The following is a 15,898-nucleotide window of genomic DNA, read 5'->3' on the forward strand; positions in this document are numbered from 1 at the left end:
TTCAAAAGACCTGTATGAGGCCTGGACTACTTTGAGGAATCATCCTTTTTTTTTTTTTTTTAAAGTCGGAATCTTGCTGTGTTACCCAAACTGGAGTGCAGTGGCATGATCTTGGCTCACTGCAACCTCCGCCTCCCGGGTTCAAGCGATTATCCTGTCTCAGCCTCCCAAGTAGCTAGCATTACAGGTGCACACAACCACACCCAGCTAATTTTTGTATGTTTAGTAGAGACAGGGTTTCACCATATTGGCCAGGCTGGTCTCAAACTCCTAACCTCAGGTGATCTGCTGGCGTCGGCCTCCCAAAGTGTTGGGATTAGAGGCGTGAGCCACTGCACCCCGGCCTGGGAATCATTCTTGATAGAATAGCTATCTAAAACATTGTTTCCATATAGGCAGAAAAACCAGCCTCTAATTTTATTTTCTGTAAAAGAAATGCACAATGGCAACAAATTAAAGGATACAAAATAAATTGTAACATATCAAACAGGACAAAAAAACATAACGTTGAAAAGCAACCAAGCTTCATCCTAACTCTACCGCCAGGGCCACTGCCCAAGGACAACATCTTTTACATGTTTTTGTTTGTTTGGAATTACTTCAATATTTCTAAATATGCTCATTCAACTTTAAATAAAATCTAATGACTCCCTGCTACAAAGGATAAAGATTATGTTAATACCCACTGGTCCAATATTTAACAGTTGCATTAAGTTTGCGTCTTTTGTTGGTTTTCTTTGTAACTTTTTTTTTTTTTTTCCTTTTTGGAGACACGGTCTCCCTCTGTTGCCCAGGCTGGAGTACAGTGGCATGATCTTGGCTCACTGCAACTTCTTCCTCCCAGGTTCAAGCAATTCTCCTGCCTCAGCCTCCTGAGTAACTGAGATTACAGGTGTGGGCCACCATGCCCAGCTAATTTTTATATTTTTAGTGAAGACGGGGTTTCACCATGTTGGTCAGGCTTCTCTCAAACTGACCTCAGGTGGTCTGCCTGCCTCAGCCTCCCAAAGTGGTGGTATTACAGGCATGAGCCACCACGCTTCTTTGTAACTCTGAATAATACAAGATAAAACACTAGATAACATTTCAACTTTAGGTAGTATTACAACTCTCCACTATTAACACCACCATTCTTCCTTCACACCTTTTTCTCACCTCCCTTAAACACAAGAAGTCTTTTGTGTTTTGTCCATAGGTTGACACAGTTAATAGCCAACTTCCAGACTAAGGAGTGTGCTAGGATTACATCTTCTCTTTTACAGAACCACTGAACCACCGTGAAAACCACTAGAAAACCACTCAAAGGAAAATATAGAAAGCATCAGGATCAAATGGATTATCTTCCCTTATTAACAATTGCCCAAATATCTTTGCTTCATATTTAGATCACAAACGGGCTGGGCAGAGTGGCTCACGCCTGTAATCCTAGCACTTTGGGAGGCCGAGGTAGCAGATCACTTGAGCCTGAGAGTTCAAGACCAGCCTGGAAAACATGGTGAAATCCTGGTTCTCCAAAAATAAAATACAAAAAATTAGCTGGGCATGGTGGCACACACCTGTAGTCGCAGGTACTCAGGAGGCTAAGATGGGAGGATCTCCTGAGCCTGGGAATTCAAGGCTGCAGTAAGCCATGATAGCACAACTGTGCTTCAGCCTGGGTGACAGACGCCATCTCAAAAACAAAACAAAACAACAACAACAGAGAGCAAACTTCCCCGTCTCTACTAAAAATACAAAAATTAGCTGAGCGTGGTGGCAGGTGCCTGTAATCCCAGCTATTCAGGAGGCTGAGGCAGGACAATCACTTGAACCCAGGAGGCGGAGGTTGCAGTGAGCTGAGATCGCACTGTTGCACTCCAGCCTGGGTGACAAGAGCAAGACTGCGTCTCAAAAAAACAAAAACAAAAAAGCAAACTTGTATGGCTTTGTTTTTCCTGGAGTTTTAAATTACCCTTTTGCCTCCTGAATATTTTATCTAATTTATCATATCAAGTTTTTCCATTTACAGAGATGCTCTCTCTTTTGCCCCCTGGTACATACCCCTGAAGAACATTTGGCCTTCTGCTTCCATTTAATCTAATTGTTCTTTAGTTCTGCTGTACCACTGAGGACTTCCCTTTACTGCACTCCAAAGTTAGAGCCACTCTTTTCTAGTATCTATGTCTTCGATATGGTTTGGCTGTGTCCCCACTCAAATCTCATCTTGAATTGTAGCTCTCTCAATTCCCATGTGTTGTGGGAGAGACCTTGTGGGAGGTAATTGAATCATGAGGGGTGAGTCTTTCCTGTGCTATTCTCGAGATAGTGAATAAGTCTCATGAGATCCGATGGTTTTGTAAAGGGGAGTTTCCCCGCACAAGCTCTCTTCTCTTGTCTGCCACCGTGTAAGATGTGCCTTTCACTTCTGCCATGATCGTGAGGTCTCCTGCCACTTGGAACTATGAGTCCATTAAACCTCTTTCTTTTGTAAATTGCCCAGTCTCTGGTATGTCTTTTATCAGCAGTGTGAAAATGGACTAATACAGTAAATTGGTACCAGAAGAGTGGGGCACTGCTGAAAATATACCCAAAAATGTGGAAGCAACTTTGGAACTGGGAAACAGGCAGAGGTTGGAACAGTTTGGAGGGCTCAGAAGAAGACAGGAAAATGTGGGAAAGTTTGGAACTCCCTAGAGACTTGTTGAATGGCTTTGGCCAAAATGCTGATAATGATATGGACAATGAAATTCAGGCTGAGGTGGTCTCAGATGGAGACTAGGAACTTGTGGGAACTACAGCAAAGGTGACTCTTGTTACGTTTAAGCAAAGAGACTGGCAGCATTTTGTCCCTGCCCTAGAGATGTGTGGAACTTTGACTTGAGAGAGCTGATTTCGGGTATCTGGCAGAAGAAATTTCTAAGCAGCAAAGCATTCAAGAGGTGACTTGGGTGCTGTTAAAGGCATTCAGTTTTCAAAGGGAAACAAAGCATAAAACTTTAGAAAATTTGAAGCCTGGCAATGAGATAGAAAAGAAAATCCCATTTTCTAAAGAGAAATTCAAGCAGGCTGCAGAAATTTGTGGTGGCACATGCCTGTAGTTCCAGCTACTTTGGAAGCTGAGGCAGGAGAATCACTTGAACACAGGAGGCGGAGGTTGCAGTGAGCCAAGATTGCACCATTGCACTCCAGGGCAACAGAGAGAGTCTTCATCTCAAAAAAGAAAAAAAAAGGCACATCAGAGACCTTTGCAGCAGCCCCTCCCATCACAGGCCTGGAGGTGTCATGGGCCAGTCCCAGGGTCCCTCTGCTCTGTGCAGTCTAGAGACTTGGTACCCTGTGTCCCAGCCACTCCAGCCATGACTAAAAAGGGCCAAGGTACAGCTCAGGCTATGGCTTCAGAGGGTTCAAGCCCCAAGCGTTGGCAGCTTCCACATGCCGTTGAACCTGTGGGTGCACAGAAGTCAAGAATCGAGGAACCTCTGCCTAGATTTCAGAGGATGTATAGAAATGCCTGGATGTCCAGATAGAAGTTTGCTGCAGGGGTGGGGCACTCAGTGCTAGGGCAGTGCAGAAGGGAAATGTCAGGTGGGCACCCCCACACAGAGTCCCCACTGGTGCACTGCCTAGAGGAGCTGTGAGAAGAAGAGGGCCATCATCCTCCAGACCCCAGAATGCACCATGTGCCTGGAAAAGCTGCAGACACTCAACGCCATCCTGTGAAAGCAGCCAGGAGGGAGGCTGTACCCTGCAAAGCCACAGGGGCAGAGCTGCCCAAGACCATGGGAACCCACCTCTTGCATCAAGGTGACCTGGATGTGAGACATGGAGTCAGAGATCATTTTGGAGCTTTAAGATTTGACTGCCCTGCTGGATTTCAGACTTGCATGGGGCCTTAGCCCCTTTGTTTTGGCCAATTTCTAACATTTGGAATGGCTGTATTTACCCCCATTTTGTCTAGGAAGTAACTAACTTGCATTTGGTTTTACTGGCTCATAGGCAGAAGGGACTTGCCCTGTTTCAGATGAGACTTTGCACTGTAGACTTTTGAGTTAATGCTGAAACGAGCTAAGACTTTAGGGGACTGTTGGGAAGGCATGATTGGCTTTGAAATGTGAGGACATGTGATTTGGGAGAGGCTGGGGCAGAATGATATGGTTTGGCTGCGTCCCCACTCCATTCTCATCTTGAATTGTAGCTCCCACAATTCCCACGTGTTGTGGGAGGGACCCAGTAGGAGGTAATTGAATCTTGGGGGTGGGTCTTTCCCGTGCTATTTTCGTGATAGTGAGTAAGTCTCAAGAGATATCTGATGGTTGGCCCGGCGCAGTGGCTCACACCTGTAATCCCAGCACTTTGGGAGGCCAAGGTGGGCGGATCACAAGGTCAGGAGAGCGAGACCATCCTGGTTAACACGGTGAGACCCCGTCTCTACTAAAAATACAAAAAATTAGCTGGGCGTGGTGGTGGGCGCCTGTCGTCCCAGCTACTCGGGAGGCTGAGGCAGGAGAATGGTGTGAACCCAGGAGGTGGAGTTTGCAGTGAGCTGAGATCACGCCACTGCACTCCATCCAGCCTGGGTGACAGAGCGAGACTCCGTCTCAAAAAAAAAAAGAAAAAAGAAAAAAAAGAGATCTGATGGTTTTATAAAGGGGAGTTTCCCTGCACAAGCTCTCTTCTCTTGTCTGCTGCCATGTGAGACATGCCTTTCACCTTCTGCCATGATTGTGAGGCCTCCCCAGCCATGTGGAACTGTGAGTCCATTAAACCTCTTTCTTTTGTAAATTGTCCAGTCTCAGGTATGTCTTTATCAGCAGCGTGAAAATGGACTAATACAGTCTTCTTAGTTTATCTTCTTATTTGCTGGAGAACATCCCCAGCTACTTATGAAAGAATGGGAGATAAACTTCCAGTTTTTGGATATTTGAAAATATCTTCATTCTGCTGGTCACTCTGACTTAGTTCGAATTTACATTCCCTCAAAATTTCAAGGCATTATGTAGTATAATACATTCTAGTTTTCAGTGATACTGATAAATTGGATGGAAGTGTGGTCTTAATAGATAATTAATTAATTATTTTTTTTCTTAAAGATGGAGTTTTACTCTTTCACTCAGGCTGGAGTGCAGTGGCACAATCTCAGCTCACTGCAGCCTCCACCTCCCAGGTTCAAGCAATTCTACCTCAGTCTCCCAAGTAGCTGGGATTACAGGCATGCACCACCATGCCTGGCCAATTTTGTAGTTTTTAGTAGAGACTGGGTTTCACCATATTGGCCAGGCCGGTCTTGAACCCCTTACATCAAGTGATTTGCCTGCCTTGGCCTCCCAAAGTGCTAGGATTACAGGCATGAGCCACTGTGCCTGGCCAATAATTAACTTTTTAATCCCCTCATTACCACCAGAAATTTTTCCTTTCATGTTTAATTAACTTAGTTAGCTATAAATCATCTCTAGGTTAAAATATATTATGGAAACATATTCAGATCACTTTTGCAATCTTTCATTACATATATTTCATAGTCAAGTTATTTCTTCTTCCCCAAGCCCCACCCTCCCCAATCAAGTTATTTCTGAAAAAAGAACTTTTTAATATAAATATTACACACGTTACCAATTCAAACAGTAAAAAGTTACTTGCCTATTTCTTGCGCACTAGAATCTTAGCTTTCTTTCCAGAGGTAGCCACTATTATTCATTTCCAGAAGCTTTTAGGCTTTCTCTTTAATCTTAGTGATATAACATTTTAGAAATAAAAATTTAGTAACAACTTTTCATGATCAGAATTGCAATTTTTTTGAATTAACGTAAGCAATCAATAAACTAAAAGTGAATATACTTTGTCAATGACAGCTAGGCAGACATGTACTGAGTATATAGTACTATATATATATAGATGTTTGATACAGTTTCATTGAGATATGATTGACATATAACAAAAATGCACATATTTAAAGTTTATAATTTGATGAACTATGACATATATGTATACCCATGGAACCATCACCACAATCAACATAATGAATATAGGCCAGGCATGGTAGCTCATGTCTGTCTGTAATCCCAGCACTTTGAGAGGCTAAGGCAGGAAGATTGCATGAGCTCAGGAATTCAAGACCAGCCTGGGCAATATAGTGAGACCTTGACTCTAGAAAAAAATAAACAAAAAAATAGCTGGGTGCAGTGGCACATGCTTGTAGTCCCAGCTACTTGGGAGGCTGAGGTGAGAGGATCCCTTGAGCCAGGGGGATCAAGACTGCAATGAGCTGTGATCGCACCACTGCACTCCAGCCTGGGTGACAGAGTGAGACCCTGTCTCAAAAAAAAAAAAAAATAAGAATAACAATTAATATATCCATCAACTCCAAAAGTTGCCTCATCATCCTTTGTAAACTGTCTTCCCCAAACCTCCTTTATTTATCTTATCCCCAGGTAACCACTGATCTGCTTTCTGTCACTGCAGATTAATTGCATCTTCTAGAATTTTATATAAAGGGAATAATACATCATGTACTTTTTTGTCTTCTTTATTCAACAAAATTATTTTGAGATTCATCCATGTGGTGTGAATTAACTGTTCATTCCTTTTCAGTACTGCTATAGTAGTCCATTGCATGATTATACTACAATTTTTTCATTTACTTTCTAATGGACATCCATACATAGTTTTTGTCTTTTTTTGAGACATTTATTCAGTGTCATGATCAGACTATTACATTTAGCAAATCAACAGCAACTTTATGTAAACTTTCCTGATGTTTTTATTTTATTTTTGAGACAAGGTTTCACTCTGTCACCCAGGCTGGAGTGCAGTGGCATGATCTCGGCTCTCTGCGGCGTCAATCTTCCAGACTCAAAAGATCCACCTGCCACCCCAAGTAGCTGGGACTACAGGCACGTGCTACCACATCTGGCTATTTTTTTTTTTTTTTTTTTTTTTTTTTTTTTTTTGGTAGAGACAGGGGTTTCACCATGTTGGCCAGGCTGGTCTTGAACTCCTGACCTCAAGTGATCTGCCTGTCTCGGCCTCCCAAAGTGCTGGGATTACAGGTGTTAGCCATTGTGCACTCCCTCAAGCTCTCCTTTTAATTAAGGACTTCTTCTAGCTACTGAGTTCACTGTTGGGTAAGTCTTTGGTTCCTTCAGAATTGCTACATTTGCAGAGCGCCACCTTGCTCAAGGTTAGGTTCCTTCCCAAGTGGCCCACATGCAATTGCTGATCAAAGTGAAGGTATAAGAGGCCAGGCATGGTGGCTCACGCCTATAATCCTAGCACTTCAGGAGGCCAAGGTGGGTGGATGGCTTGAGCTCAGGAGTTTGAGACCAGCCTGGGCAATATAGCAAAACCCCATCTCTAAAAAAATAGAAAAATTAGCCAGGTATGGTGGCATGAGCCTGCAGTCCCAGGGACATGGGAGGCTGAAGTGGGAGGATGGTTTGACCCCAGGAGGTGGAGGTTGCAGTGAGCCAAGATTGTGTCCGGCCTGGACAACAGAGCCAAATGCTGTCCCCCGTCCCACCCCACCACACACACACACACACACAGAAACAAAACAAAACAAACAAACAAGCAAAACCTTAACGTGAAGGTATAAGAGCTTGACCATCTTAGCCCAACTTGGGACAACTCTAAAGGTCAATTGTAACATCCCAGACTCCCTATGTAATCTGCATAATCTCTCTCTGCCCAATCCGTGTCCTTCCCCCTCTGTTCCACAAGTGCTAACCCCAAGGGCACTCCTTAATAAATAACCTGCCTGTTAAATTCTGTTTCATAGTTTGCTTCCCAGGAACCCAACCTATGACAGTTGGTGGCAGGAGTGAGGTATGAGAAAGCAGGCACTAAGATGGGACTTTGGAGCATGATCACTAGCTGCCCACCTGACAATGAGGACCCCTATCACAAGATTACAGTCCAATTGTTAAAACTTTCATGCATGGTCAATTGGGTTGATACACCAGTAAAAGAGTATATATTTACAGATATGATGTATTAAGCATTTGAGAAACATGGGGGAAATAGCAACTATAAGGATGATGGAATTGATTGGTACTATGGACTGAAATATATCCCCCAAAATATCTGTATTGAAACCCTAGTCCCCAATGTGATTATATTTGGAGATAGGACTTTTAAGAGATAATTAAGGTTAAATTAGGTCATATGGGTGGGGTTCTACTCTGATAGTACTAGTGGTCTTTTAAGAAGAGGAAGAGAAATCTCTCTCTTTCTCTGTTTCTGCACGCATGCACCGATGGGGTTCTACTCTGATAGGACTAATGGTCTTTTAAGAAAAGAAAGAGAGATCTCTCTCTCTCTTTCCCTATCTCTGCACACATGCACCAAGGAAAGACCATGTAAGGACAAAGCAAGAAAGCAGCTATCTTTAAGACAGGAAGAGAGCCCTCACTAGGAATCAAGTCAGCTGGCACTTTGAAGTTGGACTTCCTAGCCCCCAAAAACTGTGATAAATAAAGTTCTGTTGTTTAAACCTCCTGATGTGTGGTATTTTGTTATAATAGTCCAAGCTGACTAAAACAGACTAAGACTATTGTTTAACCGATTGATGCACTAGAAAAAAGATAATGAAAAGTTGAAAATGATTAATCACCAATTTCTTCATTGAGAATGATTAATCACCAAGTGAAAATTAGAGAGTCTGCTTAATAGCTCACAAAGTGGCTCTCCTCTCCAGCAGTGGGGGTACAGAATAAGCTAAAGAATAAACTTAGAGTAGCTAAGCTCCAAAGAAGATTCACTTTCCAGTCAACACAGGTAAATCAAGTTAAGGTCAGGGCCCTAGTTGGGAAAGAATGGGGCTTGACACATTAGATGAGGACGTTCCTAAAAGTGGCCCACCCTCTCTGCACCATTGCTCAGAGATGGTGCAGAGACCTCTCTCTATCAAGACAACAAGTGTTGTCTGGGTGCAGTGGCTCATACCTGTAATCTCAGCACTTTGGGAGGCTGAGGTGGGAGGATCACCTGAGACCATGAGTTTGAGACCAGTCTGGGAAACATGGAGACCTTGTCTCTACAAAAAAAAAATTAGCCAGGCATGGTGGCACACATCTGTGGTCCCAGCTGAGGCAGGAGGCTGAGGCAGGAGGGTTGCTTGAGTCCAGGAAGTCAAGGATGCAGTGAGCCATGCCTGCACCACTGCACTCTATCCTGGGCAACAGAGTGAGACCCTGTCTCCAAAAAAATGCATAAATAAGTAGGCCAGGCGTGGTGGCTTATCCCTGTAATCCCAGAACTTTAGGAGGCCGAGACAGGCAGATCACCTGAGGTCAGGAGTTCAAGACCAGCCTGACCAATATGTGAAACCCTGTCTCTACTAAAAAAAAAAAAAATACAAAAATTAGCTGGGTGTGGTGGTGGGCACCTGTAATCCCAGCTACTCGGGAGGCTGAGGCAGGAGAATCCCTTGAACCTGGGAAGTGGAGGTTGCAGTGAGCCGAGATCATGCCACTGCACTTCAGCCTCGGTGACAAAGCAAGACTCCGTCTCAAAAAAAAAAAAAAAAAAAAAAAATTAGCTGGGTTCGGTGGCTCATGCCTGTAATCCCAACACTTTAGGAGGCCAAGGTCGCCAGATCACTTGAGGCCAGGAGTTCGAGACCAGCCTGGCCAACTTGCTGAAACACCGTCCTACTAAAAATACAAAAATCAGCTGGGTGTGGTGGAGCATACCTGTAGTCTCAGCTACTTGGGAGGCTGAGACAGGAGAATCTCTTGAACTGAGGAGGCGGAGGTTGCAGTGAGCCAAGATCGTGCCATTGCACTCCAGCCTGAGTGACAGAGTGACTCCATCTAAAAAATAATAATAGGTTGGGTGCAGTGGCTCATGCCTGTAATCCCAGCACTTTGGGAGGCTGAGGCAGGCAGATCATGAAGTCAGGAAATCGAGACCATCTTGGCTACCACAGTGAAACCCCATCTCTACTAAAAATACAAAAAATTAGCTGGGCGTGGTTGCACATGCCTGTAGTCCCAGCTACTCAGGAGGCTGAGGCAGGAGACTCGCTTGAACCTGGGAGGCAGAGGTTGCAGTTAGCTGAGATCCCGCCACTGCACTCCAGCCTGCGCGACAGAGCAAGACTCCATCTCAAAAAATAATAAATAAATAAATGTCTAATTGGACAGTTATTATAAGATCAGAGAGACAGTCGGGGGAGGTGGCCCTCAGAGGATTATTATGGAGATAATTAATGTGGTGTCCTTAGGGAAAAAAATAGGTGGGCAACCAATAAGGGTATTCAGTTTGTTTTTTAAAAATTTATGACCAGGAGACTGAATCAGTAACCCCAATTGAAATATAATTCCTTGACAAGTTTCCAAACATGAACTCATGCTTTAGACATGAAATCCATTAACTCAAGGAGAGATTAGGTCCCCAGGAAAAAATAACCTGTAACACCATGGTGAAAGTACACAGGAATGATTTTCTCCGTCCTTCCCCAATGGTTGTTCCAGAACTGTTGGACCTATGGCTTTACTCAAATAATCATGCACTGGGAAAATGGTAGTAGTACCAAAACATTTCAAAGACTATTGGTTCCAGACTCTGAATTAACGTTGATACATAGAGACCCAAAGAATCATTTATGGTCCCCCTATTAGGGTAGGTACATGTGGGGGTCAGGTAATAAATGAAGTCCTACCCAAGATGCCATGGTCTGAATGTTTAAGTTCACCCAAAATTAATATGTTGAAACCTAATTCCCAATGTGATAATATTAAGAGCGGGTCCCTTGGGAAATGATAGATCTTGAGGGCAGAGCTGTCATGAATGGGATAAGTACTCTTATAAAGAAGCCTGAGGGCTGGGCATGGTGGCTAGAGCCTGTAATCCCAGCACTTTGGGAGGCCGAGGTGGGCAGATCACATGAGGTCAGGAGTTCCAGACCAGCCTGGCCAACAAGGCAAAACCCCATCTCTACTAAAAATACAAAAATTAGCCAGACATGGTGGCACGTGCCTGTAATCCCAGCTACTCAGGAGGCTGAGGCAGGAGAATCACTTGAACCCAGGAGTTGGAGGTTGCGGTGAGCCGAGACTGCGCCATTGCACTATAGCCTGGACAACAAGAGCAAAACTCTGTCTCAAAAAACAGAAAAAAAAAAAAAAAAAAAAGAAGAAGCCTGAGGAAGCTGCCTTACCCCTTCCTCCATATGAGGACACAGGGAGAAGGTGCTATGTATGAAGAACAGGCCCTTACCAGACACTGAAATCTGCTGGCAACTTGTCTTGAACTTTCCAGCCTCCAGAACTGTAAGATTTAAATGTTCATCACTTATAAGCTACCCGGTTTTGGGTATTTTGTTATAGTAGTCTGAATTCACTAAGAAACAAGGTCCAGATCACATTGGATCTACTCTTCTACAGACCTATATGTTGGTAATTTCCCCATTTCCCAAATACATAATCAGAGTAGATATACTTCATAGTTGGCACAACTCCCTCATTGGGTCCTTGGCCTATGAAATAACAATTATAATGATATAAATCAAAAATAGTACTGTAGGCTGGGCACCATGGCTCACACATATAATCCCAGCACTTTGGGAGGCCGAGCCAGGCGGATCACTTGAGGCCAGGAGTTCGAGACCAGCCTGGCCAACATGGCAAAACCCCGTCTCTACTAAAAATACAAAAATTAGCCAGGCTTTGTGGCAGGTGCCTGTATTCCCAGCTACTTGGGAGGCTGAGGCAGGAGAATCGCTTGAACCCAGGAGGCGGAGGTTGCAGTGAGCCAAGATTACACCACTGCACTCCAGCCTGGGAGACAGAGCAAGACTCTGTCTCAAAAAAACAAAACAAAACAAAACAAAACAAAAAACAGTACTGTTGGAGGAATGGCAGAAATTAGTGCCACTCTGCTATGGTTTGAATGTGTCCCCCAAAAAGTATATGTTGAAAACTTAATCCCCAATGCAATAGTGTTGGGAGGTGAAGCCTAATGGGAAGTGATTAGGCCATGAGGGCAGAGTGAGTGAATTAATGCTGTTATCTTGGTAGTGGGTTTGTTATGAAAGGAAGAATTTGGACCCTTTTTACTCTCTCTCTCGCACTTCCACCTTTCACCATGGAATGAGGAGCAAGAAGGCCTTGCCATATGCCAGCCTCTTGCTCTTGGACTTTCCAACTTCTAGAACTGTAAGAAATAAATTTTCATTTATTAAAAAATCACCCATTCTGGCTAGGCTCAGTGACTCACACCTACAATCGTAATCCCAGCTCTTTGGGAGGCTAATAAGGCAGAAGAATTGTCTCCCAAGTCTGAGCTCTACAAAGTTGGAGGTACAGGTCCCCAGAAGGAGTGCAATTTTACCAGAGAATATAGCAAGACTCCCACTGAGTTCCAAGCTATGGCTATCAACCTGGGCCCTTTGTGTTCTTTGTGTCCAGGGATAGCAGGCAAAAAGAAGAGTCACCATTCTGGCATCAGGGAAAGGTTAGATAGCAGAAGCATGAATGTTTGGCATTTAGGTAATCTAACTGTGTACCTCCTGGTGTATGATTTTTCCCAATTTTGACCATAAATAGACAAATACAGCAACCTCGGCTTGAGAAAGGAATAAAAACTAGGGGAAACCCTTCAAAGATGAGGGTCTGGGTCATGCCACCAGGTAAGCCACTGAGGTAATAGCTGAGGTAAGAGGACTCTAAACTGGATAGAGGACAAGGGAGACAATAAGTATCAGTCGCAGCCCTGAGACTAGTGGCAGTAATAAGAGCTATGGTTTGCTCCATTAATCTTACTTTTCTAAATGTCCCACAGAAAAAGAGAGGCCCATCCTAATGCTGGTATTGCTGCTCCTAGAACATATATGAAGATGTAGATCTGAACAGAACAAGACTATGGTGGACACTGTGATATGCTGCTCAGATCCTCCTTCAATGAAGGATTACCTCAACTTCTGGGAATGCTATTGGCTCCTTCAGGGATTGCCTTAGCTACAGAGAGACAGGTCCCTTCCCAAGATGACTCATATCCAGTGATCAATGCCAGGGTAAAAAGGCCTGACTGACAGGGTGCAGACGGGGTGCAGGGGCTCATGCCTGTAATCCCAGCACTTTTGGAGGCCAAGGCAGGCAGATTACATGAGGCCAGGAGTTTGAGACCAGCCTGGCCAACATGACAAAACCCTGTCTCTACTAAAAACACAAAAATTAGCTGGGTGTGGTGGTGCACATCTGTTATCCCGGCTACTCAGGAGGCTGAGGCACAAGAATTGCTTGAACTGGCGAGGCAGAGGTTGCAGTGAGCCAAGATCACACCACTGCACCCCAACCTCTGTGGCAGAGCAAGACTGTCTCCAAAAAAAAAAAAAAAAAAAAATCCTGACCATCTCCAATTTGGGATAACTCTGAGGGATCATTTCAGTTGCAGAACTTCCTGTGAGGTCAGCTGAGGCTACCATTGGGTTTAAAATCCAATATAACTTCTCTGTCTGTTCAATTCTGTTTCCTTCCCCTCTTTTCCACAGATGTTGATACCAGGAGCACTTCATCTCAGAATCTGCCTTCCCCAGGACCCAACCCAAGATATCCATTTTATATCCTTATAATAGATTACTATGTATCTATTAAAAAGATACAACACTTCCATATTACCTGTTGGCTTAGAAAGAAACCCAAAGTACATTAAATTCAACAAAATCAGGTTAATATAAACTAGGAAAAAGTTTGGATACATAGTTTAGTGTTAACAGTGAGTATCTGCTGGGTGAGGTGGCTCACTCCTGTAATCCCAGCACTTTGGGAGGCCAACGCGGATAGATTGCTTGAGCCCAGGAGTTCAAGACCAGCCTGGGCAACATAGCAAAACCCCGTCTCTACAAAAAATACGAGAAATTAGCTGGGCATGCTAGGGTGCTCCTGTAGCCTGTGATCTCATCTACCTATCTGGAAGGCTGAGTTGGGAGGATTACCTGAGCCCAGAAGGTCTAGGTTTCAGTGAGCCATGATCGTGTTACTGCACTCCAGCCTGGGTGATGAATTCAAACCGTTTCAAAAAACAAAACAAAACAACAATGAGTATCTGTGGATAATGCTTTTTATTTTCCTTTCTTTTTTTTTAGATGGAGTCTTGCTCTGTCTCTCAGGCTGAAGTGCAGTGCTGCCATCTCGGCTCACTGCAAACTTCACCTCCTGGGTTCAAGTGATTCTCCTGCCTCAGCCTCCCAAATAGCTGGGATTACAGGTGCCCGCCACCACACCTGGCTAATTTTTGTATTTTTAGTAGAGGCAAGGTTTCACCATGTTGACCAGGCTGGCCTCAAACTCCTGACCTCAAATGATCTACCCACCTCGGCCTCCCAAAGTGCTTGGATTACAGGTGTGAGCCACCACACCCAGCCTTTTTATTTTCCTTTCTACAAATTTCCTGTTTTGCTTTTCAGACATGGTCTCACTCCGTCACCCAGGTTAGAGTGCAATGGCACCATCTCAGCTCACTGAAGCTTCTGCCTCCCAGGCTCAAGCGATCCTCCCACTGCAGCCTCCCAAGTAGCTGGGACCACAGGTGTGCACCACCATGCCAAGCTAATTCTTCTATTTTTGGTAGAGATGGGGTTTTGCCATGCTACCCAGACTGATGTCAAACTCCTGGGCTCAAGTAATTCACCCACCTCAGCCTCCCAAAAATGCTGGGATTGAGGTGTGAGTCACCTCACCAGACCTAAATTTCCTGTGTTTTCGGAACTTACATATTTAGCTTTTTTTTTTTTTTTTTAACAGAGTCTCTCTCTGTTGCCTAGGCTGGAGTGCAGTGGTGCTATCTCGGCTCACTGCAACCTCCACCTCCCGGGTTCAAGCGATTCTTCTGCTTCAGCCTCCTGAGTAGCTGGGACTACTGGTACGTGCCACCATGCCCAGCTAATTTTTTGTATTTTTAGTAGAGACAGGGTTTCACCGTGTTCACCAGGATGGTCTCGATCTCTTGAACGTGTGATCTGCCTGGCTCGACCTCCCAAAGTGAGCCACTGTGCCCAGCCACATGAGTTATTTTTATATTCAAAAAGTGCAGCAAAGAGATTTTCATTTTGGAAAATAAACCTTATAGTGAGTAGATAATCTCTTTAACAACTGGGATAGTAAATTGGTATAAATATTCTGGAAAATAATTTTACCATATATGAAGATCCTTAATTCCCAGTAATCCTACTTTAAGGAAATTATCCTGAAAAAATAACTAAAATAGAATCAAATAATTTTTTGTAAGATAGAGTCTTGCTCTGTTGCCCAGGATGAAGTGCAGTGGTGCAATCTCTGCTCACTGCAACCTCCACCTCCTAGGTTCAAGCAGTTCTCCTGCCTCAGCCTCCTGAGTAGCTGGGACTACAGGCACACACCACCACGCCCATCCAATTTTTTGTATTTTTAGTAGAGATGGGGGGGGGGGTCTCACCAGGTTGGCCAGCCTGGTCTCGAACTCCTGACCTCAGGTGATCCAACCGCCTCAGTCTCCCGAAGTGCGAGGATTATAGGTGTGAGATACCGTGCCCAGCCTGGAATTAAATAAATTAATAGAATTGAAATTATACAAAAATACATATTACAACTTTATTTCTTTTCTTTTCTTTCTGTTTTTGTTTGTTTGTTTGAGATGGAGTCTCACTCTGTCGCCCAGGCTGGAGTGCAGTGGCACAATCTCGGCTCACTGCAACCTCTGCCTCCAGGATTCAAGCAATTCTCCTGCCTCAGCCTCCCGAGTAGCTGGGACTACAGGCACGTGCCACCATGCCCAGCTAATTTTCTTCTTTTTTGTATTTTTAGTAGAGACAGGGTTTCACTGTGGTAGCCAAGATGGTATCAATTTCCTGACCTTGTGATCCACCAGCCTCGGCCTCCCGGAGTGCTGGGATTACAGGCATGAGCCAGCGCGCCCGGCCTAAAATATTCTTATACCTCCACCT

Source organism: Homo sapiens, chromosome 3, assembly GCF_000001405.40.
Source record: "Homo sapiens chromosome 3, GRCh38.p14 Primary Assembly".
Classification (NCBI taxonomy): Eukaryota; Metazoa; Chordata; class Mammalia; order Primates; family Hominidae; genus Homo; species Homo sapiens.